This window comes from Homo sapiens, chromosome 4 (genome assembly GCF_000001405.40).
Source record: "Homo sapiens chromosome 4, GRCh38.p14 Primary Assembly".
NCBI classification, from domain to species: Eukaryota; Metazoa; Chordata; class Mammalia; order Primates; family Hominidae; genus Homo; species Homo sapiens.
In genome coordinates, this window is record NC_000004.12 from 46,770,206 (window position 1) to 46,786,294 (window position 16,089).

The window sequence follows — 16,089 nt, forward strand, 5'->3', positions numbered from 1 at the left end:
CTGCTTGAAAAAGAATCCAGAACTACAACCCCAATAACAATAGCATCAAAAATAAATAAATACTTAGAAATAAATTTAACCAAGGATGTTAAAAATCTGTACATTGTAAACTATGAAATATTGATAAAACTACTGAAGACACAAATAAATGAAAATAATAATACCTTATGTTCATGAGTTGAAACTAAAATTGTTAAAATGTCCATACTACCCAAATAAATCTTAGATTCAATGCAATCTCTACCAAAATTCCAATGGCATTTTTCATAAAAATAAAAATAAATCCTAAAATTCATATGGAACCATAAGATAAAAGAATTCCTAAATCAATTTTGACTGGACGCATCACACTACCTGATTTCTAATATACCATAAAGGTCTACTAATCAAAATAGTATGGCCCTGGTATAAAAACAGATATATAGACCACCCACTGGAACAGAATAGAGAGACCAGAAAAAAAAACACACGTTTATGGTCAATTGATCTCCAACAAAAGTATCAATCACATAAAATGATGAAATGACTGTATCTTCATTTACTGGTGTTGGGAAAATTGTTTTCCATATCCAAGAATATAAAATTGGCTCTTTATCTTACCCTATATGCAGAATCAACTCAAAAGGGATTAAAGACTTAAAAATAAGACCGGAAACTGTAAAACTACTAAAGGAAACATAAAGACAAAGCTTCTTGACACTGGTTGAGACAGTAATTTTTTTATATGACCCCAAAAGCACAGGCAATAAAAGCAGAAACATACAAATGGGATTGCATCAAACTAAAAAGCTTTGCAAAGCAAATCAACTGTATAAACAGACAATTTAAGAAATGAGAGAAAATATTTCCAAACCATACATGATAAGGTGCTAATATCCAAAATATATAAGGAACTCAAATAATACAACAGCAATAAATAAGTAACCCAATTTAAAAACAAGAAAAGGATCTGAAAAGACATTTATCCATAGAAGACATGCAAACTGCTAACGCGTGTATGGAAAAATTCTCAACATCACTAACTATCAGAGAAATGCACATCAAAACTATAATGAGACATTACCTCAGACCCATTAGGATGGCTATTATCAAAAGGACAAGAGATAATATTTGTTGGTGAGAGTGTGGAGAGAAGGGGTCCCCTTGGGCATGGTTGGTGGACATGTAAGTTGGTATAGCCATTATGGAAAACACTATGGAGACTCTACATAAAAATAAAAATATAACCACCACATGATCCAACAATCTCACTTCTGGGTACACATTTAAAGCAAATGAAATCGGTACAGGTTGACTATATCAGATTTGAAATGCTTGGGACCAGAGGTGTTACAGATTTCAGATTTTTTTTTTTATTTGGAATAGTTGCTTTACAGTTTTGAGTATCCCTAATCTGAAAATCTGAAACTCAAAATTCTCCAAAATCCAAAACTTTTTGAGTGCCAACATCATACTCAAAGGAAATACTCACTGGAGCATTTCAGATTCTCAGATTAGAGATACTCAACTGGTAAATATAATGCAAATATTTCAAAATCCAACCCCCCCACAACAATAACAACAACAAATCAAATTTCTATTTGACAAACCTCTGATCCCAAGTATTTCAGATAAGGAATACTAAAGCCGTACATACTTACGGGTTGAACATTCCAAATCTGAAAATCTGAAATCCAAAATTCTCCAATGAGCATTTCCTTTGAGTATCATGTTGGTGCTCAAAAAGTTTCAAATTTTGGAGTATTTTTAACTTTGGACTTTTGGACTTGGCATGCACAACCTGTATCTCTTTCACTGTGGCACTATTCACAACATGCAAGATGTGGGATCAACCTAAGTGTAGATCATCAGATAAATATATTAAAAAATGTGATTAGACACACGCATACAGTGGAATATTATTGAGCCAAAAAAGGGAGATCCTTCCATTCATGGCAATATGGATGAACCTGGAGTACATTATGCTAAGTGCAATAAACCAGGCACAGAAAGACAAATACAATACTGGTTAATCTCACTTATATATGGAACCTAAAAAAATCAAACTCGTAGAAACAGAGAATAATGGTGTTGTCACGCACTGGGGTGTGGGGGAAATGGGGAGTTGCAAGTCAAAGGGCACAAAGTATCAGTAGATTGAATAAGTTCTAGAAATCAAATGTGCAGCATGGGCAATATAGTTAATGATACTGTATAGTATGCTCGAAATTTGCTGAGAGTAGATCTTAAATGTTCTCACCACACAAAGAAAATGGTAAGTATCTGAGGTCATGAATATGTTAATTAGTTTGATGGTAGTAATTATTTCACAATGTACACATAAATCAAAACATGACATTGTATATCTTAAATATATATAATTTTTATTTCTTATGTATACCTCATTAAAGCTGGGAAGGAGGAAAAAAGAAAGAAAGGGAGAGAAAGAAATGCCAAGGAACAGAAAAGTTAGCTACTGTAGAGTTTAAGTAGAGTGGTTGCAATCTAGTACCTGATTCTCATCTTCACAGAAATTTATTTTCTTTCAACTTATGCAGGATTGTTTTGGTTTCAGATGATCAAATCATAATGTGCAAACTTACAGTTTTAAACAACAGGATGATTTACTGCTAGTGCTTACTTACTCCAGTAGTAAAGCTACCTATTTCCGTTAAGTAGACAGTAGGACACCAAATTGCCAATGGCGTTAGTTTGGTGGGCTTTAAATAAGACTTAAAAATATTTTTTTGATTGTTGACTCTAGAACATAAGACACATAATTAAATGTCCATGGAAACCAGAAAAATAATGGAAAAGTAGTAAATTGGCTGAGGATTTTCATAAAATTAGGTAGAAAATTTTTACACTTCAATGAAAATATACATATTCTCTGTTCTTTTGCAACACATGAAATACGATGTCTATTTTTTAACTGATTTTATGTTCTACTCCAGATAGAAACAAGAAAATAGAAAAATAGTTTTCTACTGTTATAAGGTAGTATCGTTTGACTGTGTCCCCACCTAAATCTCATCTTGAATTGTAGTTCCCATAATCCCCACATGTCATGGGAAGGACCTGATGGGAGGTAACTGAATCATGGGGGCAGTTACCCCCATGCTGCTGTTAGTGAGTGAGTTCTCACAAGATCTGATGGTTCTATAAGGGGCTTTTCCCCCTTTGCACAGCACTTCTGCTTTCTGCTGTCATGTGAAGAAGACGTGTTTGCTTCCCCTTCTGCATGACTGTAAACTTTCTGAGGCCCCCCCAGTCATGCTGAACTGTGAGTCAATTAAACATCTTTCCTTTGTAAATTACCCAGTCTCAGGCAGTTCTTTATAGCAGTGGGAGAATGGACTAATACATAAGGAAAATGCATAGTATAAGCATGATAAAAAATAAGAACTGACACTAAAGCTTCAATGTTGGGGAAAAATAAGCTATATTAAAAACCATGGTGAAGTAGCAAAATCATGTTCAACTTGACTGTTGCCTTGCTGGAATTTGAGCTGGGCTTCTGGATCTAATTTTTTAGAAAGAAGCTGAGCATCTAGATTTCTAATTTAAAATATGTTCATTTTTAATAGACTTAATTTCTAAAATACAGTGTAGGGCAAACAAGACCTGGGGGCTATCTTTAGTCTATAGACTGCCACTTTGAGGCTTTTATCTAGAGGTATGTTTTAGCCAAACAATGACTAAACTGAATTTCATGATTCAGAGAAAGCTGTACTTCCACAATAACTGGAAATATGTGCCCTCCTAATTCCCTTGTTCCATCATTCTCTTTAGGCTGACCTGAATATTTCCTCTCTGACTCTGATTTTCCAGAATCCATGGACAGCTCATTAACAATCTCCTGCTAGACAGTCAGATCCAACAGAATTAGTTAAGTTATGCTTTCCGTGATTCTGTTTCAGTCAAGATGTTCACGCTTTTGATATTTTCAATAACTCAAATAGCTGTTATTCTGTTATTCCCTTTCTGGAAAGTGCCCCCAAGTTTGCAAGTGTTTATCTTAAAACAAACAAACAAACAAACAAAAAACTAAATTCCCTTCTTGGCTTGGTTAGCAACACATTTATAACCCGTTACCTTAGGGTCTGGTTCGTCTATCAACGGCTACTTTCAATCATTGTGTTGAATTTAAAATTTACCTGACCTTGTCTTCAAGTTCAGAGAAATTATACTCTCTGTCTGATTACATTTTGCTACAGTGCTTTAGTTTTATTAATTTTTTCATGCATGTCAGAAGATTTCCATTCTAAATATTTTGTGGATAGTCCTATTATATTGGCATCAATGTAGGGGACGTGACTTTAAAGGGAAAGTGATATCTATCTTATCTATATATCATTGGTGGACTGTTGTGTATTCCCCCTATTTTCCATGTCTAAAGTGCCATTTGTTGGTACTGATGGCTATACAGAATTTACTAATACAGAGTTTTAATAATAAATAAAATTATTTATTTTTTTCTCTTTCTCTGATACCTACTTTACTCTTCTCTCATATCCCTATCCATTTTTATCTGGACCTCTTATATCCTCAAGTCTTATCACTGATGGGTCAATATGGTAGCTGATAATAAGCACTCTTGGAATGAAGGAATAACTGATCCTAGGGCTGATCTGGAATCCAAAAGGCAAACAATGTAAATGTATCAGAGATTTGACTAAATGTGATTTACATTTTCACTATACAATTTTAAAGCAAGTTATTCACTCAAAAAATAAGGCACTGAATAAGAACACAGCTTATACTTACTTTAATATATAAACAAAGATATGTTATTTAATTTTCAAATAGTTGATGTTTCCATATCTATGAAATAAAATTAGGTTTCTGTGGATTTTCTGTGGTCACATATATGAGACCTTAACTACATAATTACCTCAATTCTAGACATTGTAAGTGATACTGCTTGATACTTAAACATAAATTACAAGTATATATCATTTGCCAGTCAGATTCTTTAAGATAATGACTAAGAAAACAGAAGTTATTTATATTCTTTATGAAACATAAGAAATATGACTTCCAGTATGTTATGAAAAGCATATATTATAAGGCAGTATTTTGCAAACCAGAGTATCAGGTTTTCTGGAGCCAAATTTTAGTGTTACGGTCATATGTTGTTAAAAGAATAATCTCTATTCAGTTTGGTGTTGTAACAAAATTGCAAAAAGTCACTGTATTTTAGGATGACTAAATCTTTCATCATGGAAAACAGAATGCTCAGTTTTTAGACTTTTACATTTTCCTGAAGTATATGACACATTACTGTGCACTACTTCCATTAGCAAAATCTTTTACTATTTAGTGATGAATAAGCTGTTTAAATGCTTTTGTCTAATTGGGTCATACCGCAATGAATATCCCCCTCCATTATGTATGGATATTATAAAAAGAAGCGTCTGAATAATGTCTTTTTCTCCACAATATAAAACCTATTACAGCAGCAAGATACACGGAGAGTCAAAATCTTCCATTACGTATGATGTCTACAAGAAGAGTAGATGGGGTTCAATGGGGCTAAAGTATTACAAATTAGAATAGGAATTTATAAGTAAATTTTGGTTAAACACAAAAAGAGGATTATAAATAATAAAGCTTATCGTATCGTATAAAGAAAGAGACTTTCTTATGAGGTAGTGAGATCGCTGTTATCTGAGGTGTTCAAAGAGGCCTGATGTCAGAAGAGAAATGCAAATACTGGTAAGACAGTCCCCAACGTTATTCCCAAGTTTCTATAAAAATGTGAGATGCCAATACTTGGCAATTTGAGAAAAGATGGAATGTTTATTTAAACTGAAGAATATTTATCTAAAGATATATTTATTGTGTATTAGGAATGCTCCTGTGCCCTGAAGATAAACCAGTAAATAAGACATACTTCCTGACAACAGACAATTACAGGCAGGTTGAAATGCATATACCATTGCTCCTATGAGTATGGGGCAGTGGAGGATTATCTAGTAGACAGACAAAGTCCATGCCTGAGATATGGGGAAAGTGGGGGTCTGCCCTAAAAAAATTCCTTTTAAAGGAATATGCATACAGTATTCCCAAACAGCAAAATAATAATGATGGCAAAAATATAACTTTTTGAACTTTGTTTTTAACCATTTCCTGTTAAAATATCTGGACTATATCCTAATGGCCATAAGAGGTCACTACAAACTTTTAAGCTGCAGAGTAGTTTCAGAGTGTGTGTGTGTGTGTGTGTGTGTGTGTGTCTGTGTGTCTGTGTGTCTGTGTGTGTGCATTAGAAAGAAAACTCTGAGCCATGTGAAGAGTGTCAGACTGGGAAGCAAGATACGCACTGTTGTAATAAACTCAGTGGGATATGATTAAGCGTGTAAAGTACTGGCAATGGGAATTCAGAGAAGGGGAGAAGATCAAAAAATATCAGTCTCTCCTGGGTTTGGTGACTGGTTGGTTGCAAAGGAGAAAGACAAAAGAGTAATTAATAATCCCTCTTGGCTTTCTGTCTCCTTTCTTCAGCCATTTTATTTCAGCAGCTACAGATGGAACAATAAGATAAACCCTTGGGCTTCTCCACATACCCAGGAAGAGATTAGTAAAGATCATGAACCTCACCCCTTACTTACAACTTACAAAAGCAACATAGGATCTCCAACAGTTCTATCCCAGAGATTCAGGGCTTTTCTTGATCACCATACACCAGCTAGTTTAAAGTTAAATGGTACAGGCTGTCCTCCTCCTTTTTACCTATGTGGCAAAACATCTAATTTGCCGCAGCTGGCAGTAAGATGGTTCTGTCAACATCTCAATTTCTTCTTACCATTTATGCCCTTCCATTGGATGCATACTGAATATAAATATGCTAAAGATGCAGATTAAACTGCTGCATCATCCAGAGTAAATGTAATATATATGTGTGTTAGTAAGCTCATGCCATGGTCATTAAGGCTTACCATATATGAAAGTAAGGATACTCAATGGTCTTTAAAATGTATTTTCTAATACTGAAAACAGAATCTGGACCTTGAAACCAGACCAAAAAAATTCCATGAGATAAAAGGGGAGTAAAGGCCTGAATGAAATGCTTTTAAAAAATAAATGGAAGAGTGATTGAATACAGTTAATATGGATAACTCATGAAGAATTTTGCTTTTATCAAAGAGCAGATAAGTGAGCCAGTAGCTATAGGGGAAAGTGGAGTGCCAGAGAGAGAGAGAGAGACAGGGAGATGAAGGCGGTGGTGGTGAGGAGAGAGTGAGTGTTAAATAATGGAAAAATAATAGCATGTATGCCCTCTGATGTAGAATTATCCAGTGGAGAGAGAGGAAACACCAATGTAGAAAAAGAAAAGGAGGAACTGTTAGGATAAGTCCTTTGACTAAACAAGGACAAGGGAATCTTGGGTATAAATGGGGGAACTTGCCTCAGAAAGGTACTCAGTTCATCTGTATTATAAGAAAGAAGGGAAGGTATGTAGTTATGAAGGCTGGCAGCAAGTAGATAGCTTCAGTTTAAGAAATGCATAGGATTGTCAAAATAAGAACCAAAAGACTAGGAAAAACAGAGTTATCATGGAATAGCTGGACATTGCAGCTGGTTCAGTCCTTAACTAGCCATGTGACATAAGGCAAATACTAAACTTCTTCATGCTTCAATTTCCTCAAAAATAGATGGAGATAACACTGGTGCTTACTTCATAAAGTTAAACAGATGGACCAAATAACATGATATATCTATCTTCTCCCAGGAAAATATAAGCTCCATGAAGGCATGGATTTCCATCTTTTTTTCTCTCTCTTTTAATTGTACTGACATGGTGTCTGGCATATAGTAAATATTTAATAAATGTGATCTATTATTATCACTACCAGCTCATTTTGACACCATCATTGGTTCAAAATGAAGTGATCCTTACCTTCACAAAGACAAAGAGCATTTTTCTTAACTGGCATGAGTCTGAAGGTGGGGAGGGAAGAGTGTGGAATGTGTGATTTGAAAATCAAATTCTGTGATAAGAACTTTGAAAATTTCAAGATTCTTTCTCAGAAGTATCCATGAACAAGGCTAAAACTTTTCCTATCACTATAATTTCTGTTGATAATTCTCCCAAAGGTAGTTAACCTAGTTCATATTACACAAGTGTCTCCTATACTCATTAATTTTCCTTTTTCAATATACAGTAACAATGACAATAACATGTAGTCAGCAAACCAGGTTATCATCTGAACTCTCTCTGTTATTGGTATTTTCTTATGGTAACACTGCATTTCTAGGTAAATGCATGCAGGGTTTCAGTTTCATTATTTTTTATGACCAGTCAACCAAGATGTTCACTGACTAGTAGAACAAGAAAAATAAACACCGTATATCAAATTCAATTATGAGTGACCTACTTAAACAGCTTCCCACTGTTACATTCAAATTAAAAAATGTGCATTTGATGCTAATGTGTGAGATGAAGCATATAGAATCAGTAGACATTTTTAAATATAGCTTATGTCTTGCATGTATAATCACATCAGCTGATGATCCACTGAATAATTTGATATATCAATTAGTTCCATCAGTATTAAAGTATTTGCTAGTATTTTTAGCATCTGTTACTTCAGTGAGTAGAATAATCAGTGAAACTAAATTTTCACTGTAGTAATTCAATAGTTCATCTGCCTAGTTTATTAAATTGTTGGACTCCTTTAAAACAATAATATTTTATGTGGCAAATATGTGCTCCGATTCAATAATACACTGAGTTTTCATAAGTGTATGCATCTAAAAATACAATATAAAACAAATGTTAGTTGTTATTCTTGCAATTTAGATACTGAAAATTTTTACATTCATTGATACAATTCTTTTGACAAAGAGTGTGGCTTTAACTAAGAAGTCCTCAGAAGTCATTGACCTGACAATCCAACAAGTGTTTAATGAATAACCAATGTTATAGCTACAATTCATTTAAATATTACATGCTGAAGACTGTGATTCAAAATTTACTTATATTATTACATTTAATTCTCAGGCAACCCAAAGAGGCAATGCTATTTCCAAATCACACATTGAGAATCTAATAGGCTTTCACATATAAGTGAGATCACACAGTATTTTTCTTTCTGTGTCTGGCTTATTTCACTTAGCAAACTGTTCTTTAGGTTCATTCATATTGTCACAAATAGGAGGATTTCCTTTTTCTAAGGTTGAATAATATTCCGTTGTGTATATATATATGTCTACATTTTATCCAGTCATCCATTGATGGAAACAGATTGTTTCCATACCTTGGCTACTGTGAATAATGCTGTGATGAACATGGAGGTGCAGATATTTAATATCTTTTCAAAATGGTGGTTTCATTTCCTTTGGGTATAGACCCAGAAGAGAGATTGCTGGGTTATATGGTAGTTCTATTTTTGAATTCGTTCAGAACCTCCATATTGTTTTCTACAATGGCTGCACCAATCTACATTCCCACCAACAGTGCACAAGGACTTCCTTTTCTCCACACCCTCACCAACACTCGCTATCTCTTGTCTTTTTGATAGCTGTCATTCTAACAGTGAAATCTAAAAAATCAAACTAAACCAAATAAAAAAATTAAAAAAAAAAAACTTGAATACAAGGAAGCAGTAAGTAGAGTGGTGGTTGCCAGGGATGGAGTGGGGGGAAGCAAATGGGAAAATGGAGGTCAAATGGTACAAAGTTGTATTAATAATTATGTGAAATACATTATTCTAATAAATAATTCACTATAGTGAATAATATTATATGGTATAGTAAAAATGTGTTAAGAGTAGATTTTAGATAACTATGTGAGACCATCAACATGTTAATTTGTGTGACTGTGGTAATAATCTCACTATGGATATGCATATCAAACTTTGTTGTATAACTTAAACATATAATAAAAATAAAGTGTATTACAAGTATTTTTTTAAAAAGAATTTAATAAGCTTGATTAGATTCAATGACTAATCCAGGGTTACATGGTTGGAATATGGTAGATCCAGTAATCAAACTCAGCTATGACTAAAGGTAAAGCTCTTGCTCAAAGTCTAAACCCCTGCTGGCCGGGCACGGTGGCTCACACCTGTAATCCCCAGCACTTTGGGAGGCCGAAGCAGGTGGATCAGAAGGTCAGGAGATCGAGACCATCCTGGCTAACATGGTAAAAACCCGTCTCTACTAAAAATACAAAAAATTAGCAGGGCGTGATGATGGGTGCCTATTGTCCCAGCTACTTGGGAGGCTGAGGCAGGAGAATGGCATGAACCCAGGAGGCAGAGCTTGCAGTGAGCCAAGATCGTGCCACTGCACTCCAGCCTGGGTGACAGAGAGAGACTACGTCTCAAAAAGAAAAAACAAAAAAGTCTAAACCACTGCTATCAGATCCCTAACTAGAGGACAGATAGAATGATAAAGGTATAAGATTGCTGCCTTGCAGACATTTGGTTCCCTAAGGACTTAAATGATTGGATATGTGATTACATATACTTGAAACATAAATACAACACTAATTGCTATGGCTTTTTTACTTGTCTTCAGCATGCCTCCTTCTGTGCTCCATAAAAAGACTAACTTTGGCTCCTATTTTTAATCTATTTGAACAACTGTTAAACCTTTGTTTATAGATTATACCATCAGTAACATTTGGCCTTGCTCCATACTCATCATCTCCATAAAATTAATGAATATTACAACACTGCATTACTTCACAAAACGAAGTCATTTTCATAAGTCAATGTCTTACTTTACTGCACTTCACAAATCATTAACATTTATCAAAAATATGAAAATATGTTTCATTATAATTATCTCTGCAGAGGTGTCTACAGCTGGTAATGGATTTCAATATGGCAGATATAGGGTATCTGTTATTTTTACATTAGAAAAGTAACCCTAAAAGCAGGCAGATATGATTACCAACAGCTTTGATCATATGTACCAACATATAGCTAGTAGACTTACTATTAGAAGGTGGGCAGTAGAGGAGAGAGGGGGCACAAAAGCAACACACTGAGAAAGCAAAAATGTAGCTACTACAGTTCTGCTCTGGACTTTATACCATTTAATATACTTATATACTGCTATTCGGATAATAGACCCCTTCCCACTCTGATCACAAACGTGAGCACACTACCCAAACTAAGTCAAACAGATTCTCTCCTCCATAAATTCCAGTCATGGTTAACACAAACACACACATTCAGAAACCAAGATTAGTTAGAATTGAGTCATCTGATACACCTTCCTCAGACATAAGCAAAGCCTCCCTGGTTTCTGCCCTTCTCAAGATTTGGTTTTCAAATCTTCTTTTCAATCCTTTCCTACACATACTGAGAGGTGACAATGTGCTAGCAGCCCTCGCTTGCTCTCAGCGCCTCCTTGGCCTCAGTGTCCACTCTGGCCACGCTTGAGGAGCCCTTCAGTGTGGAGCCCTGCACTGTGGGAGCCCCTCTCTGGGCTGGCTGAGGCCGGAGCTGGCTCCCTCTGCTTGCCAGGAGGTGTGGAAGGAGAGGGAATGGTGGGAACCTGGGCTGCGCCTGGCGCTCACCAGCCAGCATGAGTTCCGGGTGGGCGCAGGCTCAGCAGGCCCCACCCTTGGAGTGACCAGCTGGTGCTGCCGGCCCCAAGCAGTGAGAGGCTTAGCACCCAAGCCAGCAGCTGCAGAGGATGTGCGGGGTCCCTCAGCATTACCTGCCCACGCGGGCCTCAGCCGCCTCCCCGTGTGGCAGGGCTCAGGACCTGCAGCCCTCCATGCTCAAGCACCCCCCATCCCGCCCGGAGGGCTCCTGTGCAGCCCGAGCCTCCCTGATGGGCGCCGCCCCCTGCTTGTGGCACCTGGTCGCACTGACCTCCCAAGGGCTGAGGAGTACGGGCACGTGGCGCGGACTGGTGGGCAGCTCTGCCCATGGCCCCTGCGCAGGATCCACTAGGCAAAGCCAGCTGGGCTCCTGAATTGAGTGGGGACTTAGAGAACTTTTATGTCTAGCTGGAGGATTGTATATGCATCAATCAGCACTCTGTGTCTAGGTCAGGGTTTGTGGATGCACCAATCAGCACTCTGTATGTAGCTAATCTGGTGGGGACTTGGAGAACTTTTATGTCTAGCCAGAGGATTGTAAATGCTAAAGGATTGTAAACGCACCAATCAGCACTCTGTGTCTAGCTCAAGGTTTGTAAATGCACCAATCAGTGCTTGTGTCTAGCTAATCTAGTGGGGACTTGGAGAACTTTTGTGCCTAGCTAAAGGATTGTAAATGCACCAATCAGCACTCTGTGTCTAGCTCAAGGTTTGTAAATGCACCAATCAGCTCTCTGTAAAATGGGCCAATCAGCAGGATGTTGGGGGCGGGGGTCCCATAAGAGAATAAAAGCAGGCTGCCCAAGCGAGCAGCAGCAACCCACTTGGGTCTCCTTCCAGGCTGTGGAAGCTTTGTTCTTTTGCTCTTCACAATAAATCTTGCTGCTGCTCACTCTTTGGGTCTGCGCCACTTTTAAGAGCTGTAACACTCACCATGAAGGTCTTCAGCTTCACTCCTGAAGCCAGCAAGACCAAGAACCCACCAGAATGAACAAACAACTCAAGATGCGCTGCCTTTAAGAGCTGTAAGGCTCACCGCGAAGGTCTGCAGCTTCACTACTGAAGTCAGCGAGACCACGAACCCACCAGAAGGAAGAAACTCCGGACACATCTGAACATCTGAGGGAACCAACTCTGGACACACCATCTTTAAGAACTGTAACACTCACCGTGAGGGTCCGCGGCTTCATTCTTGAAGTCAGCAAAACCAAGAACCCACCAATTCCGGACATAATACTATATTTGGCTTAATTCTTTATTCACCAATAAAATAATTCTAAGTGATAACCTGATAATGCTAAATGATAACCACATATTCTAAATGAAACTCCACTAAAAATGGGGTACATGAAAAGAACAAACAAGTATTAGTCCCTTGTACAGCTTTTTTTCCACTGTAAAGTAAATTAGAAGATGAGAGTGATTTGAGTGGAATATTGCAACACTGTTTAGAACATTCAGTAAACCCATGAGTAAAGGCTTTGACAGAAACCTTACAGGCTGGAAAACACAACCAAATCCAAAAGAAGTACTTTAGAGACTACAGATTGCTCACTTTTGTAAAATGGAAAAAGGCCAGTGTAATTGACCTGTAACCAGGTAGCTGGCTGATCTCTTAGAACTATCATTTCATAACAGGGGTCCTTTGCCTATCAGTGATTTCAGAAAACTAGACAGTCACATTACTAGTAGCTAGGTCACTGGTGGTAAGTGAGAAATCCACATTATTAATACATGTATTACACTTCCATACTTGCCCTATTCTGACATTTTGAAAATAAGCTCACTGAATAAACCCTGGCTTTACTAAGGAAGGGGAATGACTACATCTACAGAGGGGATCATCCTATTTTTCTGTTTACTTAAAGCTTTCTTTCAAGCCAGCTGTTCCTAAGGAAAACTCACACATGCTAGGCCCATTCCCTGAGGCCAAATAACATTTTGTTTGCAAATGATATGAACAAAAGTCAAACTAGCTTAAACAAAAAGGGAAGGGCAGGGCAGGAAAGGAAAGGGAAGAAAGAAGAAACAAGGAAGAAAAGAAAGAAGAAGAAAAGAGAGAAAGTAACTGACTCACACAACTGGGAAAGTTGGGGGTGGTACCTGCATCACACATCAAACAATCAGATTATCAGCACTCTGAATTTGGCAGTTTTACTTCTCTTTATGGTTTCCTCCTCTTCTACTAAGGCGAGTCCTGTCTTTTGGCAGATGACATGATTGGGACAGTATCATGAACTTATTTTCTGTTTCCCATTGTCTGTGTATATCTCATCAAAAGCTCTAACTCACTTGTTTTAGGTTACATGTACTTCCAAATCATAGCCAGACATCAGTTACGTCACAACTCTGCTATATAACCCAGTTCCTTTTGTGAATAGCAGTCTCATCAGAACCTCATGGAATAAGAGAGGGGCAAAATTAAAAAGGAGAGGGTATTTGTATCAGAAAAACATACAATGAGTAGACAAAATCAGGCTGTGCATTACAAAAAATACTATTTTGTAAAATAATATACAAATTTAATAAAAAGTAATACTAATTTAATATATAATTTAGCCTTAGACATTAAAGATTAAAAAGACTTAGAAAAGGGCCGGGTGCGGTGGCTTATGCCTGTAATCCCAGCACTTTGAGAGGCCGAGGCAGACAGATCATGAGGTCAGGAGTTCGAGACCAGCCTGGCCAACATGGTGAAATTCCGTCTCTATTAAAAATACAAAAATTAGCTAGACATGGTGGCGCATGCCTGTAATTCCAGCTACTCAGGAGGCTGAGGCAGGAGAATTGTTTGAACCCGGGAGGCGGAGGTTGCAGTGAGCCAAGATAGCACCATTGCACTCTAGTCTGGGCGACAGGGCAAGACTGTCTCAAAAAAAAGACTTAGAAAAGAAGCTTTAATCAAGTAAATGATCTATTTCTATATTACTGATAACCACCTGAAGTAAAATTCTCAACCCCAAGATCCACAGAAGGATCACTTTTGCAAAGACATGTCCTAATACTCATGACTTAATTGTTGTCTTATGAATAAGTGTTGATTGCTTAGCTTTATATTTAATGCCATCCAGAAGTACTGCTTACACAGTTTTGTATTTGTAAAATACTAAATATCATCACATATTAGCTCCTTGATCCTGATAGGTTATCATATTTCACTTCACAACAAATTATTTTTCTTTTCAAAATTTCTTTTAGCTAAAAGTGTTTACTAAGGGAAATAATTAAATCATAATAAGTTTAAGGCACATGCACAAATCTGGCATGAAATTACAAAGAAAATATATAAAGATATGAAAACAAATTTTTAGAATCTATTTCATTACTCCAAAGAGTTTTAAAAATATATTTAAATAGCATTAAAAATTCTCAGATAAGGCACAGATGTTAGCACTTTATGTCTCATTGCTTGTGCAGCTATTGTCTCGTGTACTGACAAATCAGTAGAACTACTCTCACATGAATATTGAGCAGATGAGAACCTGTTGAAGAAAGGTATGCCATCAATGATGTAGAAACAACTACCAAATATTTAAAACTAATACAATACTGCTTTCATTAAAAAAAACTCTATTGTTGTTGAAAAAATGGATGTGAAAGAATTCCACAAAATCTGATAGAGCAATTTTTTTTTTTTTTTTGAGACGGAGTCTTGCTCTGTCACCCAGACTGGAGTGCAGTGGCACAATCTCAGCTCACTGCAAGCTCCACCTCCTGGGTTACGCCATTCTCCTGCCTCAGCCTCCCGAGTAGCTGGGACTACAGGCACCCGCCACCACACCCGGCTATGATACAGCAATTTGATGTTTGTGTGGAAATCACTCAACATACATCTTTTAAAAGATTAGATTTCTTCATATCATTCATACGTGTAAAGCCTTTTTATGCTCACTTCATTGCCTTATTCTACCCAAATTAAAAGCAATGACAAGCATGTTAAGATATTAATAAAAGGACAAGGATAAAAGAAAGCCTGGGTGGACAGGGGACAGGAGATCTTCACCTAACCACATGAATAGAGAAGGGGAGCAACCCATGGGTGAGCAATCTGTTACTATACAGCAACCCTGCCTAGGAGGAAACATGGCCTCTCCATCCACCAATCCAATACTCTCTCTTATGGGGAAAAAAAGGGGAAATAAACAGAAAAAAAATCCATCTTTCTATACCTATTCTCAGGATTGGTAAGAAGAATATAAATAATGCATGAAAAATGCTTATTCAAAGTGACTGATACAGTTAAATGCAATAGATAGAAGCTGCTAGTTCTTTTTTTGAAATTCAAAATAGTTCTTTTTGCTTTTATTTTCATGGTTAAAAGAAAATACACATTCTTTGATTAAAAAAAAAATGAAAACATGCAAGTGAACAAAAACAGTAAAACTGAAAACTCCTGAATTCCCACCAACCAAGCTACTTAGTCATAACCACTGGTAAAATATTGGAAAGTATCTTGCCATTCCTGCTCTTTATAATTTACTTTTGCACCTAAAATATATTATGAACATCTTCTCATGTTAATATCAAAATTCTGATGATACTCA

General features: G+C 36.8%; 1 protein-coding gene across 11 annotated transcripts in view; it reads right to left on the reverse strand.

Annotated features, from left to right (window-relative positions):
• The window catches only part of COX7B2 (cytochrome c oxidase subunit 7B2), a 174,419-nt gene that overhangs the window by 35,379 nt on the left and 122,951 nt on the right, over positions 1-16,089 (reverse strand). The window contains exon 1 of one of the 11 annotated variants that reach the window (XM_005248056.5): positions 7,883-7,944. The exons of the other annotated variants lie outside the window; for them this stretch is intronic. The gene's annotated coding sequence lies outside the window, so the exon portion shown is untranslated. Of the gene's footprint in view, positions 1-7,882; positions 7,945-16,089 lie in introns of those variants that run through there. 11 annotated transcript variants of the gene reach the window in all.